General features: G+C 38.4%; 1 protein-coding gene and 1 long non-coding RNA gene across 9 annotated transcripts in view, besides 1 other annotated feature; one reads left to right on the top strand and one right to left on the bottom strand.

The window, feature by feature from the left end:
* Window positions 1-762: 762 nt before the first annotated feature.
* On the bottom strand, window positions 763-2,610 carry LOC124900982 (uncharacterized). The gene is made up of 2 exons (XR_007058779.1): window positions 2,509-2,610; window positions 763-1,196 (listed from the first exon to the last, which is right to left on the bottom strand). It is a non-coding gene; the product is annotated as an uncharacterized LOC124900982 (long non-coding RNA).
* A 73-nt stretch (window positions 2,611-2,683) lies between these two features.
* DEPDC1B (DEP domain containing 1B) overlaps window positions 2,684-27,108 on the top strand; it is a 103,255-nt gene continuing 78,830 nt past the window's right edge. For 5 of the 8 annotated variants that reach the window (XR_007058609.1, XR_948274.4, NM_001145208.2 and 2 more), the window contains exons 1-2: window positions 2,684-2,804; window positions 15,623-15,888. Coding sequence is in view for 6 of the 8 variants with exons in the window: in NM_001145208.2 (NP_001138680.1) it covers window positions 2,757-2,804; window positions 15,623-15,888 (314 nt within the window). In the remaining 2 variants the exon portion in view is untranslated. Of the gene's footprint in view, window positions 2,805-15,010; window positions 15,126-15,622; window positions 15,889-27,108 lie in introns of those variants that run through there. The other 3 variants (XM_047417369.1, XM_047417370.1, XM_011543509.3) reach the window with 2 other exon arrangements.
* Window positions 14,387-14,516: a silencer, noted in NCBI's record as "silent region_16038". NCBI's record gives its function as "represses an Ori minimal core promoter by ATAC-STARR-seq in GM12878 lymphoblastoid cells {active_cell/tissue: GM12878}" and the evidence as "EXISTENCE:reporter gene assay evidence [ECO:0000049][PMID:35858748]".

Raw genomic sequence — 27,108 nt, 5'->3', positions numbered from 1 at the left:
AAGAAGCTGGCATGATTTTTTTAAAAAAATATATAGTTCTTTTTATTACTGCTATATGCTGGGCACTTTAAATACATGCTGGGCACTATATTTAGCACTTTACATACATCCTTACAACTCTGCAAGATAATCATTAATATTCCCAGTTTACCAGTGAGTAGATGGAAATTAAATAATTAGCTTGAAGTCACTCCACTGGTAAGCAGTACCAGTCATTATTGAAATCCAGATCTATGGAATTTCACAGTCTGTGATACTTACCGAACTAGAAAGCTGCATAATGCTGGACATAATGTTTTGTATCAGATTCTAGTTTCACCACCATGATAGGTGGTGGCAGGTCTCAGACAAGGCTTTAAAATTCCCTTTCTCCTGCTTCTTGTGTCAAGGACACAAGTATCTCTTTATATTCCTTGCCAAGGACAAGAAGATCTCTTCCATGGAGCTTAGAGGTTAAAAGAAAAAAAGTTCTGATAAGGATTCACTTACTGGAAGTAAGAAAAAAATTTTAAATTGCTTTTTCTAATTACAAAAGCAATATATATGTATCATCTCAGGACATTTCTTGGGCTAAATAAAAACCTAAGGCAGCAAATGGGTGGTGGTAGTGGTGTGGTTTTGAGGATGAGAAGAGGTGGTCCAATCCCTTACTTAGATCTTTCTTATGATGTTATAGGGGAGCCAGAGATCACCTCCAAGCTCCCTTTTACCTCTTAATGAGCTCTCCAGTTGTATCTAGAAACCACACTGACACCAGGAAGATTACCAGGAGAAAAGTATACACATTTTATTAGTTTTATGTGCACATGGGGATCTTCACAAGAGAGTGAAGTCTGAAGAAGTGGCCAAAGTAAGATGCTTTTATTCATTTTTTTAGGTAAAGAGAGATAAATTTGAGAAGAAAAGCCATGACAAAGAAAATCTGGTTAAGGTGTTACAGTAGGTAGCTAGTCAGGCATGAGCAGGGCAGGAGAGGGCTCCCCCTCATACACACACACATCAGGAATGTCAGGCAGCCATCAGGTGATGGTCAGGTGGTTGTTAATTGTCTCTCTAAAATAATAGTTGGTCACAGCCGGCACCAGGGAAAGGCAGTCTCCTAATAGAAAACACTTGAACTGTTGATCAGCAGCTTCCCGATAAGATCTTAGGAGTTGGGCAAGTGGGCTCAAGTATGCGCCTGTGGACAGCTCACTCTAAGGGAAGAATCAGGAGAGAAGTAATGCAAAGCCCCAAAAGCAAGACCCCAGAAGTATGCCAACGTATAAAACCCCAGGTCAAAAGGTCAAACTACGCACTAGATCTCTCAAGTCACTGGCTTGGCCCTCTTCCAAGTGTACTTCCTTTCATTCAAAGCTTTTTAATAAACTTCACTTCTGTTCTAATACTTGCCTTGGTCTCTCCTTTTGCCTTATGCCCCTCAGTCGAACTCTTTCTTCTGAGGAGTCAAGAATTGAGGTTGCTGCAGATCTGTAGGAATTCACTGCCTGTAACATACTTTGGGGCCGTGTCTCGGATATGGGCAGCTGCTAACATATTTTGGTGCCCTGTGACTCGAGTTAACTTCCACAGCTCACAAAGGCAGTAACATTTTCTAGGGAGTCACTAGAAGATATATGTAAAAAATCTCCTATATCTCCTAGTGGAAGATAGGGTTACTTCGTTAAGAATGTTTATTCAGGTCCACTGCAGCCTTCAATTCCAAGCCTTTGGTGATAAAGGCTATTTTCTCACCGTGGTAGGGAGAGGATGCCCATCCCAGAGAAATCTTTGTGGCCTGCTGCATCGAAGAGGCAGGTCAGCTTGCCCTTTCTGAAACTACCATTTCTCCAATGTTTTCCGCTCGAAATAATCAATATACCAATTAGGCATATTTTGGAATGGCACACCTTCACTCCTTCAACGTCTTGTCCTGGGTACTTACCGAGATGACCAAATTTGAGTAGGTGTACAGAGTCCTAAGTATATGGAGTTACTTCATTTGTCCCTCTGAAAGATTGCAAATCGGACTAGCAATTCCCAGGGGGAAAATTCTAAGCAGTCAAAAAAGGACTCACAACCCTATTGCCGAGGACTAAAAGTATCAGCCCAATACAAAACATAGAACTCAAATTAAAGGGGAAAAGACTATCATGAGAACAAACAGAAGAGGAATCGGGGCTCCCTTCCCGCTCTTTATTGCCCTTAACACACTGTCTACGCTCCTTGTGCTCTCTATCCCGTTTTTAAATGTCCCTACACTGGTAAAAGCTGTCGCCTCGCTTCATTTCACTACCGCTTCTCCCAGCGTTAGCAGCACCTCCAGGCTCACAGTGCACTTGGTAGGGAGGACAGGTATTTATCCACGCGGCCCAAAGCTGGGTTTCGGTCGCTGGATAACACCTATTATTGACCCTTTTGTAGAGATAGCGTTGCGTGTGTTTGTGTTGCGCGGACGCAGAAATCTGGGAAGGGCGCTGCACAGCGTTTTCCAGCGCTGGGGAGACGCCCCCGGCCCCTTAGTCGCACCTGCCTAGGTGTGCTCGCACGGTGGGACCAGGGTGGGCAACAGATTTCGCCCCGGGCAAGTTCGCACGCGGAGCTCCCAGCGCCGCGGGTCTCGGAGAAGACGCCTGCCTCCCCGCGCATTTCCGGTGACGTGCTGCCGCGCCGCCCAATCAGCGCCCGCAGCCCGCGGGCTTGGGATTCAAACTGCTGCTCCTCCGGCTGGCGGGGATCAGCGCTGGCGCGGCTGCGGCCGCTGCTGCCTACGCGCCATGGAGCATCGCATCGTGGGGCCCGGGCCGTACCGAGCTACCAGGCTGGTGAGTGAGTGTGCTGGGGCCTGGGCGGAGCACCCGGTGCCGCGAGCCCCCACTCAGCGCGCGGACAGAGTGCTTGTCAGTCTTCGCTTCCGCAGGCCAGCGGGGCTCGGGTGTGGAGCATTTCAGCTGGGACTACTGGGGCTGCCTTTTAGTGGACGAGCCTCAAAGAAAGGCTAACGGGGCCCAGAGCTCAGCCGGCCGGGGGTTAGTGCAGCTTTGTCCATGAGATGTTGACTGGGTTCTCGGCAGTAGATGGCGCCTCTCTGTTTAAAGACCCCAAGACCAGGCTGTTCCCTGCCTTTTGTCCTCTGGAATCTAACCGACCCGGTCGGTAACCTGAGGGGCCACCACGTACCCCGTAACGCTCAGCGTTCGCGGCAGTCCAGGCAGGGCGTGTCTCCTTCCTGAGTGACACCTGATGATACCTGACGGGGTATTCGAATAAACGGTGCCCAGAACAGAGGGGCATCGCGCTGGCCGCATTTCCGGCCCCTGGCGTTTCTGTTTCTGTCAGCACCGATCCAGATGAAGAGCTGGCCAGGACAGATGTTTTAGGAGAGTCTTTGCCGACTCTGAGTTCCTGTTTTTTTTTTTTTTTTTTTCTGGGAGAAAAGCTTTGGTATTGAGGTGTACTTGGTCTGCTTTGACTTGGAACAATAAAGGGTGACAGTTTGGTAATGTCTGTGGCAAGTTTTTAGAGGACTTTCTGTGGAAGTGTAATGGTAATTTGGGAGGACAGTAACTTGCTCCTTGGTCTGCCGACCTCTCTGGCCACATTTAACATGGGAATTACTCTCATAGTTCCATGCATTATAATGAATACACAGGAAAAGATGGGAACTAACATCCAAACTCTTACTCAGCTAGACTCATGGAAGAGGTGAGGATGCTGGGATACAGATAATGTAAATAGAGTTTCCTTTTCTTTCCAAAGCCAGCCACACACTATACCAGTAAGTCAAGCCAGAGCTGAGAAGGCCAGCTTCTGGAAGAGAAATCATAGTTGGGGCTGATGGGTCTTTACTTTTTAAATTTGGCTCATAGATCGCTTTGAGAATCTGATGAAGATTAAGGATCTTCTTCACAGAAAACTGCACATGGCACATACTCATGAAATTTTACATGATTTAAGGGGATGGATCGCTTGAGGTCAGGAGTTCGAGACCAGCCTGGCCAACACAGCAAAACCCCGTCTGTACTAAAAATACAAAAATTAGCTGGGCATGGTGGCATGCGCCTATAGTCTCAGCTACTCAGGAGGCTGAGGCAGGAGAATCTCTTGAACCTGGGAGGCAGAGGTTGCAGTGAGCTGAGATCGCGCCATTGCACTCCAGCCTGGGCAACGAGCGAAACTCCATCTCAAAAAAAAAAAAAAATAATAAGGAGATTGGGAGAGTCTGTGACATTGTTTTATTTGGCATAAAGACAAGCATTTTATTTGCTCATCCTTTGGATCAGTAATCTGGGCTAGACTCATGTCAATGGTTCTTTTGTGGAGGTCACTCATGTGCCACAAATAATGTGACTTGGCTATTACTGGATGATGGAAGATGGCTGCTTGACTTGGTCCTGGCTGTTACCTGGGCCAGATATCTCTAACAGGTTATCGGAGGCATCTTCACGTAGTGGTCTCATGGTTCCAACGTAGCTAAAAGGAAGTTTCAGCTTGTGACTTTTTCTTCAAATCTCATTGGTCAAAGCAAGTTAAACAGCTAAATCCAGATTCTAGAAATTCAACTCCACTTCTTGATGGGCAGGGTGGCAAAGCCACAGAGGTGCATGTGGAGAGGATGGGAAGAATCATTGCACTCATCTTTGCGAACACTCTATACAGTATAGACACCAGAATGATCTGGGGTCAAGAATATTGATAAGTCTAACTTTAGGGAGGAAAATAAGGCATTTGATCATTCCCTTCACCAATTTATTTACAGCACTTACACAAGGAAAACATAGCAAGGCTGTGGTTCTTGACGTGACTAGTCTTCATTCTTCCTGCATTAGACTAAAAAAAAAATACCTCATAATTGGAATTGTATTTTAGTCTCATATTCACAGAATTGTATGAGGTACTTCTTTTCATGGATGCAGAGGGTCCATATATAGATAGTGCTGGATTCTTGAGTCACATTAAAATATTATCAAAGGAATTTGTTTAATTAAAAAAAGGTGCTCTCTGCTCTCTAGAAGTCTTCAGTCCCTAACAAATAATATTCAGGCTAAATTTAGGTTGATTAAGTTAAGAAGATAAATGACATGGATAATTAATGAAACAAACACCTCAGTTTCACCAGAATTTCCCAGGTAATCAATTCAGTTCTCAACTTCATAGTGTTTGAGGAACATAATATTAAACTAAGATGTGGAAAACAGAAAACAATAGCCAATTTTTTTTTTCAAAAGTGAGTATTCCTGCTGTCAGTGATTGCAGCCAACATTGAAGATGCTTCTTTCCATTGTAAAGTCTGTAATTGTTTCCCCAGTGTAATTCAGCTGTGACTTAAAGCTTTTGCTAGGTAAATCATATATTTAATAGTTTGAGACTAGTCCTCTTTTTACTTGTTGGACCTAGTTGGCCTTTCCTCCCTCTATCTGCAGCATACAATTTCTCCCTTTTCCCATCATGCTCATTCTAAACTTTCTTCAGGGGAAGCTTGGTAAAAATCTATTGGGATACAAAAACTAGGCCTTTATTTTCTCCTTTCATGGCTCACTTTACTTTCTCAAAGCATGTACAGCTTTAGAAAAAGCTCTTTGGTGCTTTTTCTAAAGCACCAAAGTCTTATTTGAAAATAACATTTTGTGGATTAGGTAAAATGTTATGACAAAAGTCAAATGACAGCCCCAACTCATGATAAATGTGAAGCTAGTTATCCATTTATACATTTTCACTGAAATAACTTTCATCTTTGTAAACTTGGTATAAATAGTTCATTCAAGTAGAGAGAAAAATTTTTTTTCTAGAAACTGCTTAAATCTTTGAACTTATTCTGAGTTATATATATGGTCTGATGCAACTGATAAATTTTAAAAGACATACAGCTTTCATTGAATCTGAGAGTTAGAATGGCAAGATCACACAACGAGGTTGTGGCAAGTGCAAGTAGATCTAGGAGTGGTTGTCACTGAACTCCCAGACCAGTCAGTTTTCTTTATAGCACCGCTATCATAATATTTTTGGTACTAAGAAGAAATGAAATGGAATATCCTGGAGAAAAGAACAGGATGCACAGCAGTAGGTGTATGTCTTATAGTTTGCCTCATCATGTTAAGAAAAAACAATTGTGTGATTTTATTTTTTCCTGAGAAACTAGGGGACTGAAATTAATAAGTAGAGCAAAACAAAAAGTGTTTTAAAATCATAAAACAAATCTGTTTTGTTCCATTTGTTGTAAAGATTCTCTTCAAATATAATGTCATGAAAAAAAAACTCAAGCTCTTTCTTGTTATTTATTGACAGAGGATATTTTGTTTCCAAAAGTGACTGAGAATGGTATATTGTTAGATTATTTAAAGATACTTATTTTTCTTTCTGAGCAGAGTAGCCAAATAACCCCTTAGTTATATTTGGAAATAAGTGGGAACAGAGACCAAAGTGACCTCAGTAGGCTTTAAAAAATCTAAAGTATTTCATATATTAAGGAAATATAACCCATAATGATAAATGCCATTCAAAATCAAAATGAGTAAATTCAAAAGTCTATTTATAAATGCTCTTTTTAAAAGGGGCAATGAGACTTTGATAAAGATGTTTTATTAGACATTTTCTAGTATGAAATAAAAGTCAGTAGCAATAGAGCAGTTAATCCATTCTGAATCCTAATGGATTTTTTTTTCCTGTGTGGGAGAATGCAATGAATTGAAAGCTCATGCTGAAGAGTAAAATTCTGAGAACTGAAAAAAGTTTTCCCTCACAAAAAGAAATGAACTTCACAAAAAGAAATTTTCACGCTGGGTGCGGTGGCTCATGCCTGTGATCTCAGCACTTTGGGAGGCCGAGGCGGGTGGATCACGAGGTCAGGAGATCAAGACCATCCTGGCCAACATGGTGAAACCCCGTCTCAACTAAAAATACAAAAATTAGCTGGGTGTGGTGGCACATGCCTGTAATCCCAGCTACTTGGGAGGCTGAGGCAGGAGAATCACTTGAACCAGGGCGTCGGAGGTTGCAGTCAGCCGAGATCACGCCACTGCACTCCAGCCTGGGCACCAGAGCGAGACTCTGTCTCAAAAAAAATAAAAAAAGAAAGAAGTTTTCACATTCCCTTACAAAGAAGACAGGGGCCTTGTCCTACCAGGGATTTATACTTGGTATTAATTGACTGTAATGACAACTGTATGGTATTACACAGGAACAGATAGTCGCTCAGTGGGATAGAAACAATCAAGAAGTGTGATATGTAAGGTTACTTAATAATATTTCTGTTCATTTAGAAAAGCATGGCATAATTGACTCTTGATATGGTTTGGACGTTTATCCCCTCCAAATCTCATGTTGAAATGTAATCCACAGTGTTGGAGGTGGGGCCTAGTGGAGGTGTTTGGGTCACTGGGGCAGATCACTCATGAATGGCCTGTTGCTGTCCTCATGACAATGAGTGAGTATTCACTCTGAGTTCATGTGCGATCTGATTGTTTAAAAGTGTGGCACCCTGTCCCTCACTCTCTCTTGTTCCCCCCTTGCTGTGTTATGTGCCTCCTTCTGCCTGCTTCCGCTTCACCTTCTGCCTTGAATAAAAGCTTCCTGAGGCCTCACCAGAAACTGAGCAGATGCTGGCACCATGTTTCTTGTACACTCTGCAGAACCGTAAGCTGATTAAACCTCTTTCCTTTATAAATTACCCAGTGTCAGGTATTTCTTTACAGCAACGCAAGAATGGACTAACACAACTCTCCATCCAGAAAAAAATAGAGATCCCCTGCCTCCCACCATATAAAATTCAGTTAAAGGTTTACATATTAAAAAACATACCCTCTAAAATATTAAAAGGAAATTTTGATAAATATTTTAATACCTCAGGATAGGGAAGCTTTCTTAAGAGAATAAACCCTGAACTGATAAAGAAAATAGATAATTATTTCCTTATAAAAACATCAACATCTACAACAAAATCATTGTATAGCTAGAGACTATGTAAAGAAATTGATAGGCTAAGATAAAACATTTGTAACATATAACAAAAAGGTTTAATATTCTATATTCATCAGTACATATTAAATGGGTATACTATATGTCAGGCACTGGTCTTTGTTGTGAGGATATTGAGCTGAACAAAATCGATTAACTTTCCTGACTTCTGTGCCCTTTAAACATTAACAGATTAAACAGTTCTTAAAATTGATTTTAAAAAAGAGATAACCCAATAGAAAAATGGCAAATCTCAGAAGAAGAAATGAATATGACTAAAGGTAAAGATATGAAAATGCAAACAAAATATGGATCTATCATTTCTTTTACATAGATTGGCAGAAATGAAAGAAATGATAACATCTAGTGTAGGCCAAAGTGTAAGGCTTTAGGCTCCCACATTGTTGGTGGAAGTGTGAATTGCTACAACTGATTTAAATATGCTGATACTTTTTAGAAGTCTATCAAAAGTAAACAAAAGCCTTGGTACTTTAGGTTATATAAACAAGTATAACTTGTAACATATTTGTAAAAATTGAACTGGGCAGAACTTGGATGACCATTTGTTAGAAAATGGCAGAATAAATTATGGCACATTCTTAAGAATGGGCTAGATCTGCAGGTATGACGCAGGGAGGTATCTGTTAGGTGCAAAAGCGTGTTTTAGGATAACATATACAACATGATTGATCTCATTTTTTAAAATGGCAAACAACAATAAATGACACACCTACAAAGGAAAAATTCTGTCTATGTGTCTGTATGTGATAGGTATGGAGTAAGACATGCAAACTCTTTTGTGTATACTTCTGTATTTAATTTGTTTGTTTCAATGAGTGTTATTACTTCTGTAATTAAAAGAACAACAGAACTGCTAACCAGACTGGGTCAATTAGTGGATATACCTAGTGATATTTGGAAATATTGGGTCCCAGAGAGCCATGCCTTCATTATGTTTATGTAATGCATAAGGTATTATGCATTAGGTAATTTTAGTTCATGATTATGATTGTTCAACCAACATAAACAAAAATCTTTTTTATTACCCCTTCCCCCGGCCCTACATACTTGATTATGCCTTTTCGGTACAACAATCTAATGATAAATGAAAGCTAGGTATCAGGGCATGTATTAAAAAAATCAATAATCAATGATTAAAAATATGTGAAAATTGTTTAAAGGTATGGTAATATCCATAGGTACTTGGTATAGTGAAATGACTACTTGAAGAAAAGTCCGTAGCACAGGATTCCAGATCTTATTCACAGACTAAGTACCTGAATGACATTTGCTAAGTTGTGTATCCTGCTAAGGTCTTGATTTTGTCCCAAAGATTTTTTCCAGCTCTAGAATAGATTGAACCTTATAATTTAAGAGATATCCTGGACATTTTATATATTATCCTTAAATTTGAGGAACGCATTTTTAACAAAGGACTTTTATAGTCATGATCTCATTTGATCTTACAATAACCTTGTAAAGTGGGTGGATAGGTAGAGAAGTTAAATCAGCGTTCTTGGACTCTTTATGGGCTTCCTTTCTACTATTCATTATTTAGCCTTTGCTCTGCTTTTCCTGTTTACATACTTTCCCTCCTTCATCCACTCACTTGGTTTCTTCTCCAACCTCCCTACTCTCTTCCACATCCAGTTTACCACCCCAACCAACCAGTTCATATTTGCCAACTTTCATGTGGGTAATAATTTTAGTATGTGAACATGTGCATATGTGTATGTATGTGTTTTTGTTTTTAGGTGTTAATTAGGCATAATGTACAGAAAAATGCTCAAAAAATTTGTTGAGTTGTATAAAAAGTGTACAACTCAACAAATTTTCATAAAGTGAGCATCCCATGTAACCAACATTCAGATCAAGGAATATCATATTACTAGCACCGCAGAAGTCTCCTTTCCCCCACTTGGTCCCTACCTCCTTATGAAGGTAACTGCTATCATTATTTTAAATATCATGGATCGTTTGGCCTGCTTTTGAGCTTCAAGTAAATGGAATCATATAGTATTTACTTTTCATATGTGGCCTGTTCATCTCAATATTATTTTCTGAGATTCATTTATGTTATGGCATGTAGCAATAGTTCGTTCATTTTCACTGCATTCTATTGGTGAATATATTATAACTTATTATGTTGATGGACATTTGGGTTGTTTCTGCCTATTATGGATAGTGCCATTATGAACAATGTGTCTTTTGGGGAGCATATATATGGATTTCTGTTGGGTATATGCTTAGGAGTAGAATTGCTGAGTTATAAGGTGTTCAGATATTTAGCTTTTGTAGATATTGCCAATCTGTTTTCCAAACTGGTCGCACCAATTTACATTCCTTACAGCAGTGTATGAGATTTCTAGTTCTTTCACATTCTTACCAGCACTTAGTGTTGCCTACCTTTTTTCTTATTTTTTAGGTCTCTAAAAAAAATTTTAGTTTTGTAAGTTGTAAACTGACAAATTATAGTTGTATATATTCATAGGGTACAAAATGATGTTATGATTTACGAATTCAATGGAATAATTAAATCAAGCTAATTACCATATCCATCACCTCAAATACTTAACATTTTTTTGTTGTACACTTGCAATTTACTCTCAGATTTTGAAAGTACATTATTATTAATATCTTCACCATGATGTCAAGATATCTCAAATAAAAAAGATAATTTCCTGTCTAGTTGAGGCTTTGTACCTTTTGACCATTATCTCCCCGTTCCCCACTCCCCTCAGCCTCTGGTTACCACCATTCTGCTTTTTGCCTCTTTGAACTCAATTGTTTTAGATTCCACGTATAAATGAGAATAGGCATTATTTGTTTTTCTGTTCCTGGCTTATTTCACTTGGTATAATGTTCTCCACTTCCATCCATGTCGTTGCAAATGACAACATTTCTTTCTTTTTTTAAAGGCTGAATAGTATTATATTGTATATGTATACCACATTTTCTTTATTCATTTATCTGTTGATGGACTTTTAGGTTGATTCCATAACTTAGCTCTTGTAAATAGTAAATGACATGGGAGTGCAGACATCTCTTTGACATCTTGACTTGAAATGTTTTGGGCAAATACCCAAAAGTGGGATCAGTAGATCCACCTGTCTTTCATTTTAGTTATTCTGACAGCCATGTTGTGATATTGACTTGTCGAGTTCTTTTACATTGCACTGATAATTAATGAGGTTTAACATCTTTGTATATGTTATAGGACATTTGAAGATCTTTTTTTTTATGATATACCTGTTTAAATTTTTTTTTCATTTTGTAATTGGAATGTCTTTTTCTTATTGATTTTTTTTGTTTTGTTTGGAAATGATAGATATATCTTATCCTACTCAGTGGCTTGCCTTGTTTCTGTGTGTTTTTAAGTTAAAAAAGATTTTAAATTTGGACTAACTTAATTTGGAGCATGACTCACAACAGTGTCAAAAGAAGTAGAAAGATTAACGTAAGAATAAAAAGCTATTTCAGTTTGGCCAGGAGGAAGACATGACTAGCAATTAGTGGGATTAAATTTCTTGAGGTTGAGAAGTTGGTTAAAAAAAGTAGAAAAAGTGCTGGGTGTGGTGGCTCATGCCTGTAATCCCAGCACTTTGGGAGGCTGAGGTGGGTGCATTACCTGAGGTCAGGAGTTCAAGACTAGCCTGACTAACATGGTGAAACCTCATCTCTACTAAAAATATAAAAATAAGCTGGGTGTGGTGGCGCATGCCTGTAACCCCAGCTACTTGGGAGACTGAGGCAGGAGAATCGCTTGAACCCGGGAGGCGGAGGTTGCATTAAGCTGAGATCATGCCATTGCACTCCAGCCTGGACTATACGGTGAGACTCCGTCTCAAAAAAAAAAAAAAAAGTAGAAAAAGTGAAAGATCGATTAAGCACTTGCTTATTGACTACCTAGTGTGGGTCACACACTGTGCTACACATCCGGGGTACATGCATACACAAACCCCACTTCTGTCCCTCAAGCTCCTGCTGTTGTATGCTCAGGAATTATGAATGTGGCTGAGAAGGTTAGCCATCAAAAATAAAAGAGAAATAGGATAATAGTTTCTCAGGTGGTTGGGCAGCAGAGAGTATGAAGAGAAATCTGGAAGAAAAGTCATGATTAGAAGGGAAAACATGACCCAAGGTTGGGCAAAAACAAACAAACAAGCAAAACAAACAAAAAACAACTCTGAGATCAGAAATACAGTTTAAAGAAAAAGATGACGTCAGAAAAATCTGATTTAAATAGGAAGAGAGGTGAGAGACAAAAGATTCGGAGTTTATAAAGTGACAGACTTGAAAGAGAAGAGTAAGAGAAAATGAGAATATGACTATGAATTTTAAGGACTTTAGGAGGACTGGCAGGGAGCCTACGTTCCTAAAAAGATGTTGAAATAATTATGTAGAAAGAAATTAGAAATATGTTACACAATAAAAGTTGCCTTATATTCCTTCTTCAAAAGAGATGACTTTCCTTTATTTTTAAGTTTGTTGTATATTCATTTAGCTTTTCATATGCATATACCAAAGCAGATAGGATCAGATTATATATAGTGTTTTGTACGTTTTTCTTCCACTTTGTTATATTTATGGTATCTATTTCTGTCTGGAACTATTGATAGTATTTTGTTTTGTGGCTATTCCACGCTTCAGTCAATTTTATTCAAATTAGTTCTAGTTTTTCTCTGATTATAAAATGGCAAATTAGTTCTAATTTTTCTCTGATTATAAAGCATAAATATACTTATGTTTATAAGTATATAAAATGCTTATAAATGCTTTCTCTGAAAAAACACTTCAGGTTTATTAAATATAATTCAACATGTTTAAATAAAATTTAACTTGTAAATACTTTTATCTTTCTTTGAGACAGGGTCTTACTCTGTCGCTCAGGCTGGAAGGCAGTGGTGCAATCATGGCTTACTGCAGTCTTGACCTCCCAGGCTCAAGTGATCCTCCCACTTCAGCCTCCCCGCTCAGTCTGCCAAGTAGCTGCAGCTACAGGCACACACCACTACACCTGGCCAATTTTTAAATTTTTTGTAGAAATGGGGTTTCCCCATGATGCCCAGGCTGGTCTCGAACTCCTTGGTTCAAGTGACCTGCCCACCTCATCCTCTCAAAGTGCTGGGATTAGGGGTGTAAGCCACTGCACCTGGCCTGTAAATGCTTTTTAATCCGTTATATTTCTGCTTCTACATGGTGAATCCCTAAAAGTAAAGTGGCTGAAAAAAAAAAAGAGATCACATCTTATATAAGCATTTATTAAACAAGTACTTATGAGATTCTTTTCTAGAGCTAGCTTTAAAACAATATGGAGATGAGACTATTATTTCCCTTTAACATTTTTGTATTTTCAGCAGACTGTAGGTAGAACATAGATTTGTTAAAATTCAAGATACAGATTTGAATATACAAATTGGTTCTACCACTTATTAGCTGGGTAGATTTGAGTAAATTTCTTAATTCCTTCTGAAAGATGGTTATTATGAGGATTACATATATACAAAGACACAATGGGGACACAAGTTTGGGACATATTATATATAGTCTAATGAGAACAAAAAAGTCATTTATTTGCTTCCTGATTTCCTCCTCACTGATATAACTTCACAGATATAAGGAGAAAGAAGCTGAATTGTCATGAAGTTATTTGAAAGTAACATTTAAGAGAGACATCTGGTTTTTGTCTTCAAGGATGCTATGAGACATGGCAGTTCACCTGCCGCCTAGTGGCATCTTGTAGTGGAAGGAAACTGGATTTTTTTTAGTTCTCAACCATGTGCCAGGGCCTGTGCAACCAGTATATGGCAGAACTGGGATTTGAACTCAAGTCTGACTCCATACCTCTTGTTTTCCCCATTCCTCAGGGATTGATTCTGTTATCCTGAAGTGGTCCAGTGTTTCTTATACTTGAAGATTAGGATCATTGTGTGGTGAGCATGGCCAGCAGTGTATTACAGTGAGTTAGTATGTACTTGATTTGACAAAACGAGGTTCCTAAATAAAGTGGAAGCAATGGGATATATATTCCCTGGACTTAACTGACGTGGATCCAATCAGTGTGTGGTGTGCTGTTTCTTAGCAGACCTCTCATTTTAATTTCCATGATTTTTGACTCCCAAAATCTGAGATTTTTTGAGCTTCTAGGGCCATATTTTTATTTAGGACAAATTCCTAGAGAAAAGTGTTAACTGCACCAAAGCCACATAGTTATTGGCAGAGGCTGGACTAATGGCCAATGGAGACTCCATTCTGGGGTCTTTCCAACGTACTCACTCAGCTCTGACAGCCACATCCACCCTGATAATATTAATAAATACAGCAGCAATGATGCTATAATGGCTAATGTTTATTAAGCACTTCTTTCGTGACAGACACTGTGATAGGCTGCATCAACATTATCTCATCTGGTCTTTGTAACAACCCTGTCATGTGGGTACTGCATTACACCGGGAGTAATGGAGGCTTGTCTAGCAATGAGTCAGTTTGCCCTGCTGGTCTGTTGTAGAATAGGCCTCTCAACCCAGCAGTGTTTGACTTCAGAGCCTGAGCTCTCTCTACCCAGTCTACTTTTCAGTGTGGTATCTGAAGATGTCATGCACACTTAAACTTCTAGGTCCTTTCAAAGGAACCATGAGGTAGTTTTAAACTAATATATATTATTTGAGGTATCTAGTAGCTATTCTTTCAAAAAGCTTTGTTTTGCATGTAAGCAAAAACTGGCTCATCACTTTTCAAAGGTTTATCTTTGTGGCCTTGAGCTGTTTGACATCAGGCACTGTATTATCTTTTTCATCTCTTTTCCTCCTCCTCCTACAATGCCTTTCACATAATAAGCAACCTAGAAATATTTGCTGAATGAAGGTAAAGTCATTAAACAGGGGACTCCAAAAAGCAAAGTTTGCACAGTGGGCTTAGTTTTAATCATTATTTACTGTATGTTCTTTGTTTATGTAAAAATCCATTAATAGGACAACTTGATGGCAATCTCCTCAATAAATAATATTTCTTGAATGAATAAATGATGAACCACCCTTGAAAAGCTGCATTTTCTTTACAGTTTTTTTTCCTATCAATAGTTTCTATTTTTGAGGCCGGGTGCAGTGGCTCACTCCTGTAATTCCAGCACTTTGGGAGGCTGAGGCGGCTGGATCACTTGAGATCAAGAGTTCGAGACCACCCTGACCAACATGGTGAAACTCCATCTCTACTAAAAATACAAAAATTAGCTGGGCATGGTGGTGGGCGCCTGTAATCTCAGATACTCGGGAGGCTGAGGCAGGAGAATTGCTTGAACCTGGGAGGCGGAGGTTGCAGTGAGCAGAGACACGCCACTGCACTCCAGCCTGGGCGACAAAGCTAGACTCTATCTCAAAAAAAAAAAAGTTTTTATTTTTGTTTTAATTATGGTAAAATATATATAATATAAAACTATTTTAACTGTTTTTTATATATATAGTTCTATGGCACTAAGAACATTCACAGTGTTGTACAGCCATTGCCACCATCCATTCTGCCAAACTTTTCTTTATTAGAGTTTGAAGCCTGTAAATAAAACATTTTCAAGGCTCTACCTGTTATTAAAGCAGTTTAAGTGGAAAAATTGCATTCTTTGCTTTAATTATTTGAGATGTAGTAATCTTAAAAAAATCAGTTGATTACTAAATGCCATTCTCTTTCTTTCCCCTAGTGGAATGAGACCGTGGAGCTTTTTCGTGCTAAGATGCCGTTACGGAAACATCGCTGTCGTTTCAAGAGCTATGAGCATTGTTTCACAGCGGCCGAAGCTGTGGATTGGCTGCATGAGCTGCTGAGGTGCAGTCAAAACTTCGGCCCTGAAGTGACCCGCAAACAAACGGTCCAGCTGCTAAAAAAATTCCTGAAGAATCACGTTATTGAAGACATCAAGGGAAAATGGGGTGAGGAAGATTTTGAAGACAATCGTCACTTATACAGGTAATGGCAACATGTAAACCTGGAAGGTGAGGAATTGGGGAGATGAGTGAATCTGGTCCAAGTCTGTTGAAGCTTCCTGATGTGTAAGAATTTACCTTGTTCACTGAACAGTGGGTCTAGTTGTGATTTGTTGAGTGGAGAACTGAATGTGTTGCTGCAATAAAACCAGCTGGGATTTTTCTTGGCTTCTTAGAGCATACCAGAGCTGTGTTTTGTTGCAGTGATGTTTCAGTAAGGTAATCTTTTCATGCCTTTTGCTCACCTGGGAAATGGTGGCCATAACTTAGTACTTCTCCTGGAGAATCTGAAATGGTGAAACAGTAGCTCTGGGTTCAGCTTTTCTGAGCAATGGGGATTGGTATATTCAGGAGGTTAGTAGCAGAGTGTGTGTGATCTTTAAACAGCTCAGGGCCCATGTGAAGAATTATGCTAGAATTCCCTGATGTCTCAGATTAAGCCCGACAATGTGAGTCCACTTTTCTGCAAACATTTTTGCTCATGTTTCAGTGCTATTTTATCATGTGGACACTTACCGCCAGATAATCCAAGGGAAAATAAAGGCTGCTTGTCTTGCACTTCACTTCTTACTGCATACTTGGCAGTTTTATTGCTGGAGGTGGAGGAGAGCAACCTCAGATCAGGTGTGGGAGAAGACTAAAGAGGAATGAAGTCACACAGGTCCATAAAGGAATTGTTGAGTTATCTACACGGATTAAAAGAAGGAATGGAGAATATGGACCCTTATTACGTGCTTTCCTTTACTCCAGCTGAAAAATAAGTGTGATTGCAGCATATTCAGTGAGGGCATTCCACTGGGACACATGGCTTTGCACAGAGACAACCTGGCTCTTTCATACCTGAACCATTTCTTTGTCTCCCTCTTGGACTAGCTGCTGAGAAAGGCAGAGCAGGGTGAGACTGTCTGTCGTGAGTGCATAGGGTGAAGAACAGACATTGCTGTGCATTAGGATCTAACTTCCTCATGGAGTTTCATCAGCAGTCTCTTGAGTCCAGATATCAGTATTGTCATCTGGGCAATTAGTCATCTGTCCACTTGGTGGTTAGTTTTGGCGTTGCTGATCCCACTTTTAATTAGGATATTGGATAATCTTGACCTATTCTGAGACCTTAGTACTTAATAGCATCAGGCAGTGGAAATTTTAGCCCTGATTCTACATGCCATACTTTATTGGGAATTCTTAAATGATTATTTCTCTTGGGAAACTTTAATTGCTTGTACCCTATCAAGATTTAGCTAGAACACTTCTGAAAGATTCTCTGGATGAGTAACTTCCATTCTATTCTATTGTGACCTTAAATTGGGTACCTCCCATCGAGTCCCAGGAGGCTTTATGAGTCCCAGCAGAGTAAAATAGGAGCCGACTACCCAGCACTAACTGCCAGAACATGTTTCACTTCAATATTAAGACTTAACCATGTATCCCCCTTTAAAAAATAGAGTACACAAGACATATTAAATTCATCCATTAAATAATTATTTTTTCCTCCAGTTTCTCTAATAGAATTCTTGTGAGTCATAAATGGAGCAGTATTTTTTTTTTTTTCACCATTTACTACCTGAAAGTTCATTATGGCTTTCCATTTTCCTGAGTGGAAGTTGTGTAAGTTAACCACCAACTTTTGCCAATTACCTAGATTAAGCTGGGATGAAATCCGTTTAGACATGTAAATCATTTGTTAAGGTGCCCGTGCCTTGAATTGAGAGTGAGCTAATGAGTGTACAGCCGGCCGTTGCATACATGCAGGCTTCTATTACAGTGCTCCACGAAAGAGCATTTGGTGTCCTACCTGCTGTGTCTTAACTGCTTTCCTTGGGCAAAGAGTACTACTGCCAAGTTATGAAAACAGAGGAGGAGAGTATGAGCGAGAGGCAGGTTAGATTTGACAATAGCCATTCTAACTGAAGTGAGATGGTATCTCCTTGTGATTTTCATTTGCATTACCCTCATGATTAGTGATGTTGAGCATTTTTTTGACATACTTATCAGCCAGTTGTATGTCTTCTTTTGAGAAATATCTATTCAGATCCTTTGCCCATTTTTTAATTGGATTATTTGAGTTTTGTTGTTGAGCTCCTTGTATATTCTGGATATTAGTCCCTTGTTGGATGAATAGTTTTCAAATATTTTCTCCCATTCTACGGGTTTACTCTTCATTGTGTTGTTTGCTATGCAGAAGCTTTTTAGTTTGATATAGTTCCATTTGTCTATTTTTGTTTTTGTTACCTGTGCTTTTGTAGTCTTACCCATAAAGTCTTTGCCTAGATCAGTGTCCTTGAAACATTTCCCCTGTTTTCTTCTAGTAGTTTTATAGTTTCAGGTCTTACAGTTTAGTGTTTAATCCATTTTGAGTTGACTTTTATACATGGTGAGAGATAGAGGTCTAGTTTCATTCTTCTGCATAAGGATATCCAGTTTTTCTAGCTTATTGAAAAGGATATCCTTTCCCCAATATATGTTCTTGGCATCTTGGTTGAAAATCATTTGGTTGTAAACACATGGATTTATTTCTGAGTTCTTTTTTCTGTTCCTTTGGTTTATGTATATTTTTATACCAACACCATTTTGTTTCATTACTATTGCTTTGTAGTATATTTTGATGTCAGGTAGTGTGATGCTGTCAGCTTTGTTCTTTTGGCTTGGGATTGTTTTAGCTATTCAAGGTCTTTTGTGGATACATACAAATTTCAGGATTGTTTTTTTCTGTTCTCTAGAATGTCATTTGTAATTTGATAAAGACTGCGTTGAATCTGTAGATTGCTTTGGGTAGTATGGTCATTTTAACAGTATTAAATTCTTCTGAGCCATGTGCATGGGATGTCTTTCCATTTTTTTGTGTCTCTCTTCAATTTCTTTCAACAGGGTTTTGTAGTTTTCTTTATAGAGATTTTTTCACTTCCTTGTTAAATTTATTCCTAGGTATTTTTTTTTTGTAGCTAGTATAAATGGGATTGCTTTTTTGATTTCTTTTCAGCTAGTTTGTTATTGGTGTATAGAAATGCTACTGATTTTTGTGTGTTGATTTTGTATCCTATAACTTTATTGAATTTATCAGTTCTGAATTTTTTAGTGGCATCTTAGGATTTTCTCTATATAAGTTTATGTCGTTTGTGAAAAGGGAGTACTTGACTTCCTGTTTTCCAATTTATATGTCGTTTATTTCTTTCTCTTGCTTAATTGCTCTAGTTAGGACTTCCAGTACTATTTTCAGTAAGAGTGGTGAAACTGGGCATCTTATCTTGTTCTAATTCTTAGAGGAAAGGCTTGCAGCTTTTCTCTGTTCAATGATGTTAGCTGTGAGTTTGTCATATATGGCTTTTATTGTGTTATATTCCTTCTGTACCTAAGTTATGGAGAGTTTTTGTTATGAATGGATGTTGAATTTTATCTAATGCTTTTTTTCTGCATCTATTGAGTGGTCATATGGTTTTTGTCCTTCATTCTGTTGTTGTGATGTATATATATATAAGTAAATCTTTATTTCTTTCACTGCATTCTCTCTTTCTTTTTGAGACAGGGTCTTGCTCTGTTACCCAGGCTGGAGTGCAGTGGTGCGATCTTGGCTCACTGCAGCCTCAACCTCCCAGGCTCAAGTGATCTTCCCACCTCAGCCTCCTGCATAGCAGGGACTACAAGCGCACGCCACATGCTCAGCTAATTTTTTTAAAAAATTTTGTAGAGACAGGGTTTTGCCATGTTCCCCAGGCTGGTCTTGAACCCCTGAGCTCAAGAAATCTGCTGGCCTCAGCTTCCCAAAGTGCTGGGATTATAGGCATGAGCCACCATGCCTGGCAGATTTGTGTATACTGATCCTTCCTTTCATCCTTGAGCTATATCCCATGTGATTATTGTATATTACCTTTTTGATGTGTTGTTGGATTTGGTTTGCTTGTAATTTGTTGAGGATTTTTGTATCTATGTTCATCAGGGACATTGGCCACTTTTTTTCTTTTTTTGTTGTATCTTTGTCTGGTTTTGGTATCAGGGTAATGCTGGCCTTATAGAATGAGTTAGAAAGAATTTCCTTCTCTTCCATTTTTTTGGAATAATTTGATAAGAATTGATATTAATTCCTCTTCAAAGGTGTGGTAGAATTCATTAGTAAAGTTGTCCAGTCCTGGACTTTTCTTTGTTAGGAGACTTTTTATTAGTGATTCAATCTTGTTACTTGTTATTGATCTATTACAGATTTTCTATTTATTTCTGGTTCAATCATGGTAAGTTACATGTGTCTATGAATATATCCATTTCCTTTAGGTTTTCCAATTCGTTGCTTATATTTATTCATTAAATAGGTTTTCTATGCCTTTTGCCATCTTTCACTTTCTGAAATGCTCAAGATACACATATTTATTTGCTTAATGGTAATCCCATATGTCATGTAGGCTTTCTTTATTTTCTTTATTTTTTAATTTTTATTTTTTTAATTATACTTTAAGTTTTAGGGTGCATGTGCACAACGTGCAGGTTTGTTACATATGTATACATGTGTCATGTTGGTGTGCTGCACCCATTAACTCGTCATTTAACATTAGGTATATCTCCTAATGCTATCCCTCCCTGCTCCCCGCACCCCACAACAGGCCCCAGTGTGTGATGGTCCCCTTCCTGTGTCCATGCGTTCTCATTGTTCAATTCCCACCTATGAGTGAGAACATGTGGTGTTTGGTTTTTTGTCCTTGCGATAGTTTGCTGAGAATGGTGGTTTCCGGCTTCATCCATGTCCCTACAAAGGACATGAACTCATCATTTTTTATGGCTGCATAGTATTCCATGGTGTATATGTGCCACATTTTCTTAATCCAGTCTATCAATTGTTGGACATTTGGGTTGGTTTTTTCTTCATTTTTATCAGACAGGGTTATTTCAAAAGACCTGTCTTCAAATCGAGAAAGTTTTTCTTCTGCTTGGTCTAGCCTATTGAAATGTTGGTTGTATGCTTTTTTATTTCATTTACTGAATCCTTAATTTTCAGGATTTCTGTTTGGTTCTTTTTAATTATAACTATCTTTTTATTAAATTTCTCATTCAGAGCTGGGTGTGGTGGTGTGTACCTATAGCCCCAGCTACCCAGGAGGTGAGAGTATTGCTTGAGTAGGGGAGTTTGAGTCCAGCTAGGGCAGCATAGTGAGACCTTGTCTCTTAAAAAAAAAAATTATAATTCAGATCATAAGCTATTTTCCTTATTTCTTTGTATTGTCTGTCTGTGTTATTTTGTATCTTATTGAGCTTCCTTGAAATCATTATTTGAAATTCTTTTTCAGACATTTCATTGATTTCCTTTTCTTTGAGATGTTAATGGGGAATGATTGCGTCTCTTTGGAGGTTTCATGTTTCCTTGCCTTTTCATTGTTTTTATGTCTCAATGTTGTTATCTGTGTATCTGGTGGAACAGTTGCTTCTTCTAGTTTTATGGATTGGCTTTTGTAGGTAAAGACTTTTTTCCTGTAGATCTATCTATAGTGTTGGCTGGTTAGAGTGCCTTCCCTTTGATTTTGGGTATGCACAGTAATTTAGTCTCTATTATTTCTTTGGCTGTAATCAATGCCAGTGGTGTCTGTGAGTTCCTCAATGGCTTAGGTTGTTGGCAGAGGCTGTGGCAAGGCTTTTCTGATGATGTAGATGCCAGGCAGGCTGGTCCTGCCGCTCTGGGTGGTGTATGTGTGCCCTTGGGTGGTGGTAGTGGGCAAGGTGTGATGGTCCTCAGGTCCCTGGGTGGTATATGCAGGTGCTGGCATTGGTGGTGGGGGGCCTGGGTGGGCTGGTCTGAAGGGAAACATTTTGTAAGTAGTTCTGAGAATAATGGAATGGACATTGAAGGGTTCTTGCTGGAAAGGAAGGAACTAATGTTCTAGAGCTTCTATGTTGTTCCATCCTCATCACATAATTCATTATTTAACTCAACACCTGTAGGTGGAAATGGTAGTATCCTAGTTGTAAAGATTGGGAAATTAATAAAGCCAAAATAACTAACTGGTCCAAAGTAATCCAGGTAGTGGTAGAAGAGTCAGGATTTGAAATGAGGTCTTCATCTCTGAAGCCTATGCCAGGCTGCCTCTATTTTCACAACATGAGGTTGACTTAGTTTATCAAATATATTAGTGAATGAAAGAGTAAACACACAGAATAAGCAAGAAACATTTGGTGTAATCAACACGTTTATATTCACAAAGTTCTTGCAATGCATTAAGTACCATGTAATACGTATTAAATGATGAACTGTCTTCTTCAAGAAGTTCTTCTCAAATAAAGAAGGCAAGGGAAACATAACCTAAATACTTATATAAATATAGCAAAAGAGAGGTGGTTTCCTTTATCTATTTGTTAGAGAAAGCTACCTAAAATATAAGGGTTCTTTTTGTATATTTTGAAGAGAGGGAATTTGCATATATATGTTAGAGAATTTTATAACAAAGATGATTAGTAAAGCCCTTATTTTGGAATATGTCAAAAATGATTTCTAGATTTAAGAAATGCATGTCATATTTGTTCTGTGAATGCATTTAAATTTGTAATTTTTTTTTAAAGACTCAAGATGTTCAGTATAGAAAAATTGAAGGGAGGAGTGAATTTTAGTGTATAAGAAAGGAAAGCAAGTTCATAATATCTGAATGCCTATAATAATAATGAGATGTTACAGAGATGTACTCAGCACTATACTTCTTTCCTGTTAACCAACAGCAATTACTAGAAAGAGTTCTGGGTTTGCTGCTGGTGAAAACAATTTTAGATTTCACTAAATGGTGCTCATGGTTGAACCAGGTGCTGTTGTCTGTGTCTTAAAGCTTCATGACCCTAAACTTCTAATGGATGAGGAGATTGAATTATACTACTTTATATGTTTATAAGAAATTTTGGTTTATGAAACATTTCTACTTCTGTGATGTCATTTAATCTTTATGATCTCCTCTGATCTTTACGACAATTCTATGAGGTAGACAGGGTACATATTTAATCCTCAGACACTTTCCCCTTTAAAATGTCTAAACAAAACACCAAGAATGTTCTAATTAAAGAAATTCTGTACTTACTGCTTCTGCCCATCTGTGTATGTGAACAATTACGTAATATTATTTAAACCTAACTTAGTGGGTTCTATACAAATAAAAATGTATATTATGATAATTGTTTTGGATTATTTAATGAGAAAAGTGTTTGTCCTGTTGTAGCCCTTTAGCAGGAAAGGTTTCTCTGGCATGGAGCCTATACATGGCTCCTGACTTGCTCTCATCACTGGTGCTAGCTCTGGTGGGTGGTTGAACTGGGAAGGTTTTCATGGCTTACAGGTAGAAATTCACAGCTCAGATGGTGGGGATTGAGATCTAACATGTAGGGACCATTTTCTTTTTATTTCCTGCCTGTCTCATTCCTTTTTTTCTTTCCTTCTCTTTTTTCTTTTTTGTTTCTACCTCTGTGTGTGTCATTCTCATGTTTCAACTTCTCTTTTTCTTCCTCTTTCTTTCTATTCCTTTTCTCTCATACTTTCTTGCTTTTCTGGCCTATTTTCAAAATACTGATTTTAATTTGAAACTAAAGTTTGTTATGTAGCTATCGCCAGATTTATTGAATAATGTTACTTTCACAGTTCTTAATGTAAAAAGCAGAGGAATCATACTACCCAGTTTTATGGCTTAGTATAGAAAGCCATAGAAGTTAATACTATGGTGTTGGTGAAGTGAAAGACATATAGATCAGTGGTACAGAATAGAGAGTCCAGAAACAGATACATATAAATATGCCAATAGATTTTTTTACAAAGATGTAAATTCTATTTAATGGGAAAAGATGAGTATTTTCAGCAAATTATGTTGGAATAATTGGGCATCCATCCATGCATGTGCCAAAATAAAAAAAGAACCTCAACATAAACCTTATACTTCATACAAATATTAGTTCAAAGTGGATCATAGATTTAAATATAAAACTACAGAACTTTTAGAAAAACAGGAGAAAAATCTTTGTTTTGGTATTAGGCAAAGAGTTTTTAGACATGACACTAAAAGCACCAAACATAAAGGAAAAATATGATAAACTGGATTTCATCAAAATGAACAATTTTTGCTCTGTGAAAGACATTGGATGAGAGGATGAGAGGACAAGCTACAGATGGGGAAAATATTTGCAAACCACATATGTGACAGTGGAGTGCTATCAAGAATATGTAAAGAGCTCATCAACTCAACAGTAAGTAAACAAGCAATCCAATTGAAAAATGAGCAAAAGACTTGAAAAGACATATCACCAAAAGTATGCAGTTAGCAGATGGGCATTTGAAAAGATGTTTGATGTAGTATACATTAGGGTGATGCAAATTAAAGCCCTAGGGAGATACAACTATGTATCTATTAGTATGTTTAAAATAAAAATACTAATGATATCTAGTGCTAGTGAGGATGCAGTCACTGGAAATCTTATACATTGCTGTTGGACACCTAGATTGTTAGTCACTTTGGAAAAGTTAGTTTCTTTTAAAGTTAATAAGTACATTGACTATATGATTCAGCATTCCTACTCCTGGGTATTTATCCTAGAGAGACAAAAACAATGTTTACACAAAAACTCGTTAAGTGAATATTTATAGATTGCCAGTAACTGGAAATAACCTAAACATTCTTCCATGGGTGAATGGATAACTATTGTACATCCATACAATGTAGCACCGCTGGGTGGCAGAAGGGTGCGACTGTAAAGGGAGAGCAGGAAGGAGCGTTTTCGGGAGTAATGGAATAGTTCTGTTTCTTGATTTTGGTGGTAGATACACAAGTGTATACATGTGTTAAACTTGATAGGGCTATACACCAAAAAAAAAAATTTTATTTTACCATATGCTAATAACTTTCTTAAGCTAGAGATTTGCAAAACCTGTATTTGTACCTCCAGTGAAAGAAACTCAAATTTAAGTTGTTTGAGGGAGGTGGCCCTTAAGTCATTTTCTGTGGCCCTGGGAAAAATTCTTTCATCACTACCCAATAGGTCTTTTGGACCCGTTTTAGATACCTCACCTTTAAATTAATGGACTACTTCCTCCCTCTAGTGGACATCTTTTGTTTTTCTAGGAAAGCACAAAACTTGTTAGTGTGATTTTATTTTTCTTTTGTTTTTACTCATTTCATCGTCATGGGTTGTTGTCCTGTGATTAGTTGGATAAGTTCTTAGCCTTACTGGGCATTGGTTTTCTCAAATATAAACTGACAGGGCAACAAAGTGATACCCTGTCTTTACAAAAAGTTAAAAGTTTAGTTAGGTGAAGTGGTGGCATGTACCATAGACCAAGCTACTCCAGAGGCTGAGTGGGGCAGATAGCTTGAGTCCCAGAGTTCAAGGGTGCAGTGAGCCATGATCATGCCACTGTACTTCAGCCTGGGTGACAGAGAGAGACCTTGTCTCATAAAAAAAAGAAAAAATAAAAAAGAAAAAAATGACAGGGAGGACTAGATCTTTAAGATCCTTTTTAGTTCTAAACTTTTATGTTTCCAGGTATGGAGTACCTATCACATGTTTTCCAATCCGTGGCAGTGAAGGATCTAAAAAGGAAATATAATGTGATTCTTTATCTGCCTGACTTTATAATCTCTTTTGAGAGAGAGAGAGAGAGAGAGAGAGAGAGAGAGAGAGTGTGTGTGTGTGTGTGTGTGTGTGTGTGTGTCTGTATGAAAAAGATTCTGCTACTTAGCAGAATCAAGACAGTATTTAATTAATTACCTAAAATAACCCATAACAAATAATCAGTTACACTGGCAGTCATTGGGTTGACATATCTATTTTGTTTGACCAGTATTGTGGTTTAGTCATCAAGTTTTTTCTATCTCCTTTTTATTTTTAAATTTTGTATATTTTGTGAAGATAATACATTTATGTGGTTCGAAATTTACAAAGTGCAAAAGGGCATATGCAATGAAAAGCCTTCCTCACATATCCCTCCCCCAGCCACTCAGTTCTCTTTCTCATAGACACTTAACATTATTAACTTCTAGCACAGTGTCTTAATACATTATGAACCGGAAAGTCTTTAGATGGGGCAAACTCACTCCAGTGGCCACATTCCCCACCATTTCCCTATAATATTATACCAGACTGTATCATGATTATGTTATCTGCCTGGCCATTGTAGGAATTGTGTCTGTGATCCAGTTGGTGTGGACTGGAGTGTTTGGAACCTTATGGAACGGGAGGGGGATGGGGAGGAGAAGGAGAAGGGGAAGGAGACGGAGGAGGAGCAGGACTTCAGCCTGGGTCGGCTAAACAGTGCAGGATCTGGATAAAAAGAAGGGATGGGAAGGAAAAGGAAAGATGGCAAGATCAAGGCTGTCAGTCAAAAACACACAAATAAGCTTCCTGGGAGAAAAGGGAGGAGGATGACCCGGCTGGAACAGAAATCTTAGGTCAGGAAATCATGAGGGATACATTTGGTGGAATTTCTTACATTTCTGACTATGGAGTAGGGTTTTATTTCAAAAGGAGAAGTTATTAAAGCGAGGCATAGTGCCATGCGCCTGTAGTCTTAGCTACTTAGGAGGCTGAAGCCAGAGGATTCCTTAAGCTCAGGATTTTTTTTTTTCATTATTATACTTTAAGTTCTAGAGTACATGTGTACAACGTGCAGGTTTGTTACATATGTATACATGTGCCGTGTTGGTGTGCTACAGGATTTTTAAGGCCAGCCTGGGGAACATAGTGAGACCCTGTCTCTTAAAGAAGAAAAAAAAAAAAAAGGCCGGGCACAGTGGCTGACGCCTGTAGTCGCAGCACTTTGGGTGGCTGAGGTGGGCAGATCACGAGGTCAGGAGATCGAGACCATCCTGGCTAACACAGTGAAATCCCGTCTTTACTAAAAATACAAAAAAATTGTAGCTGGGCGTGGTGGCAGGTGCCTGTAGTCCCAGCTACTCGGGAGGCTGAGGCAGGAGAATGGCATGAACCCAGGAAGCAGAGCTTGCAGTGAGCCGAGATTGTGCCAGTGCATTCCAGGCCTGGGCAACAGAGCAAGACTCCCTCTCAAAACAAAAAACAAAAAAACAAAAAACAAAAAAAAAAAAAAGAAAAAAGAAACAGAGAAGGCAGCTACTGTTAGTGTTTTGAGCAGTGATGGAGTCTTTGTTCTAGAACAGAGTTAATTGAATAATAGGGACAGAATAGATTGTAAGGCAGAGAAGCTGGTGAGGCGTTTAAGGTAACTGGTGAAAGCGATATTGCCTAGATG

The sequence above is a fragment of the Homo sapiens genome, chromosome 5 (assembly GCF_000001405.40).
Source record: "Homo sapiens chromosome 5, GRCh38.p14 Primary Assembly".
Classification (NCBI taxonomy): domain Eukaryota; kingdom Metazoa; phylum Chordata; class Mammalia; order Primates; family Hominidae; genus Homo; species Homo sapiens.
This window is presented reverse-complemented; position numbering and strand designations above follow the sequence as displayed.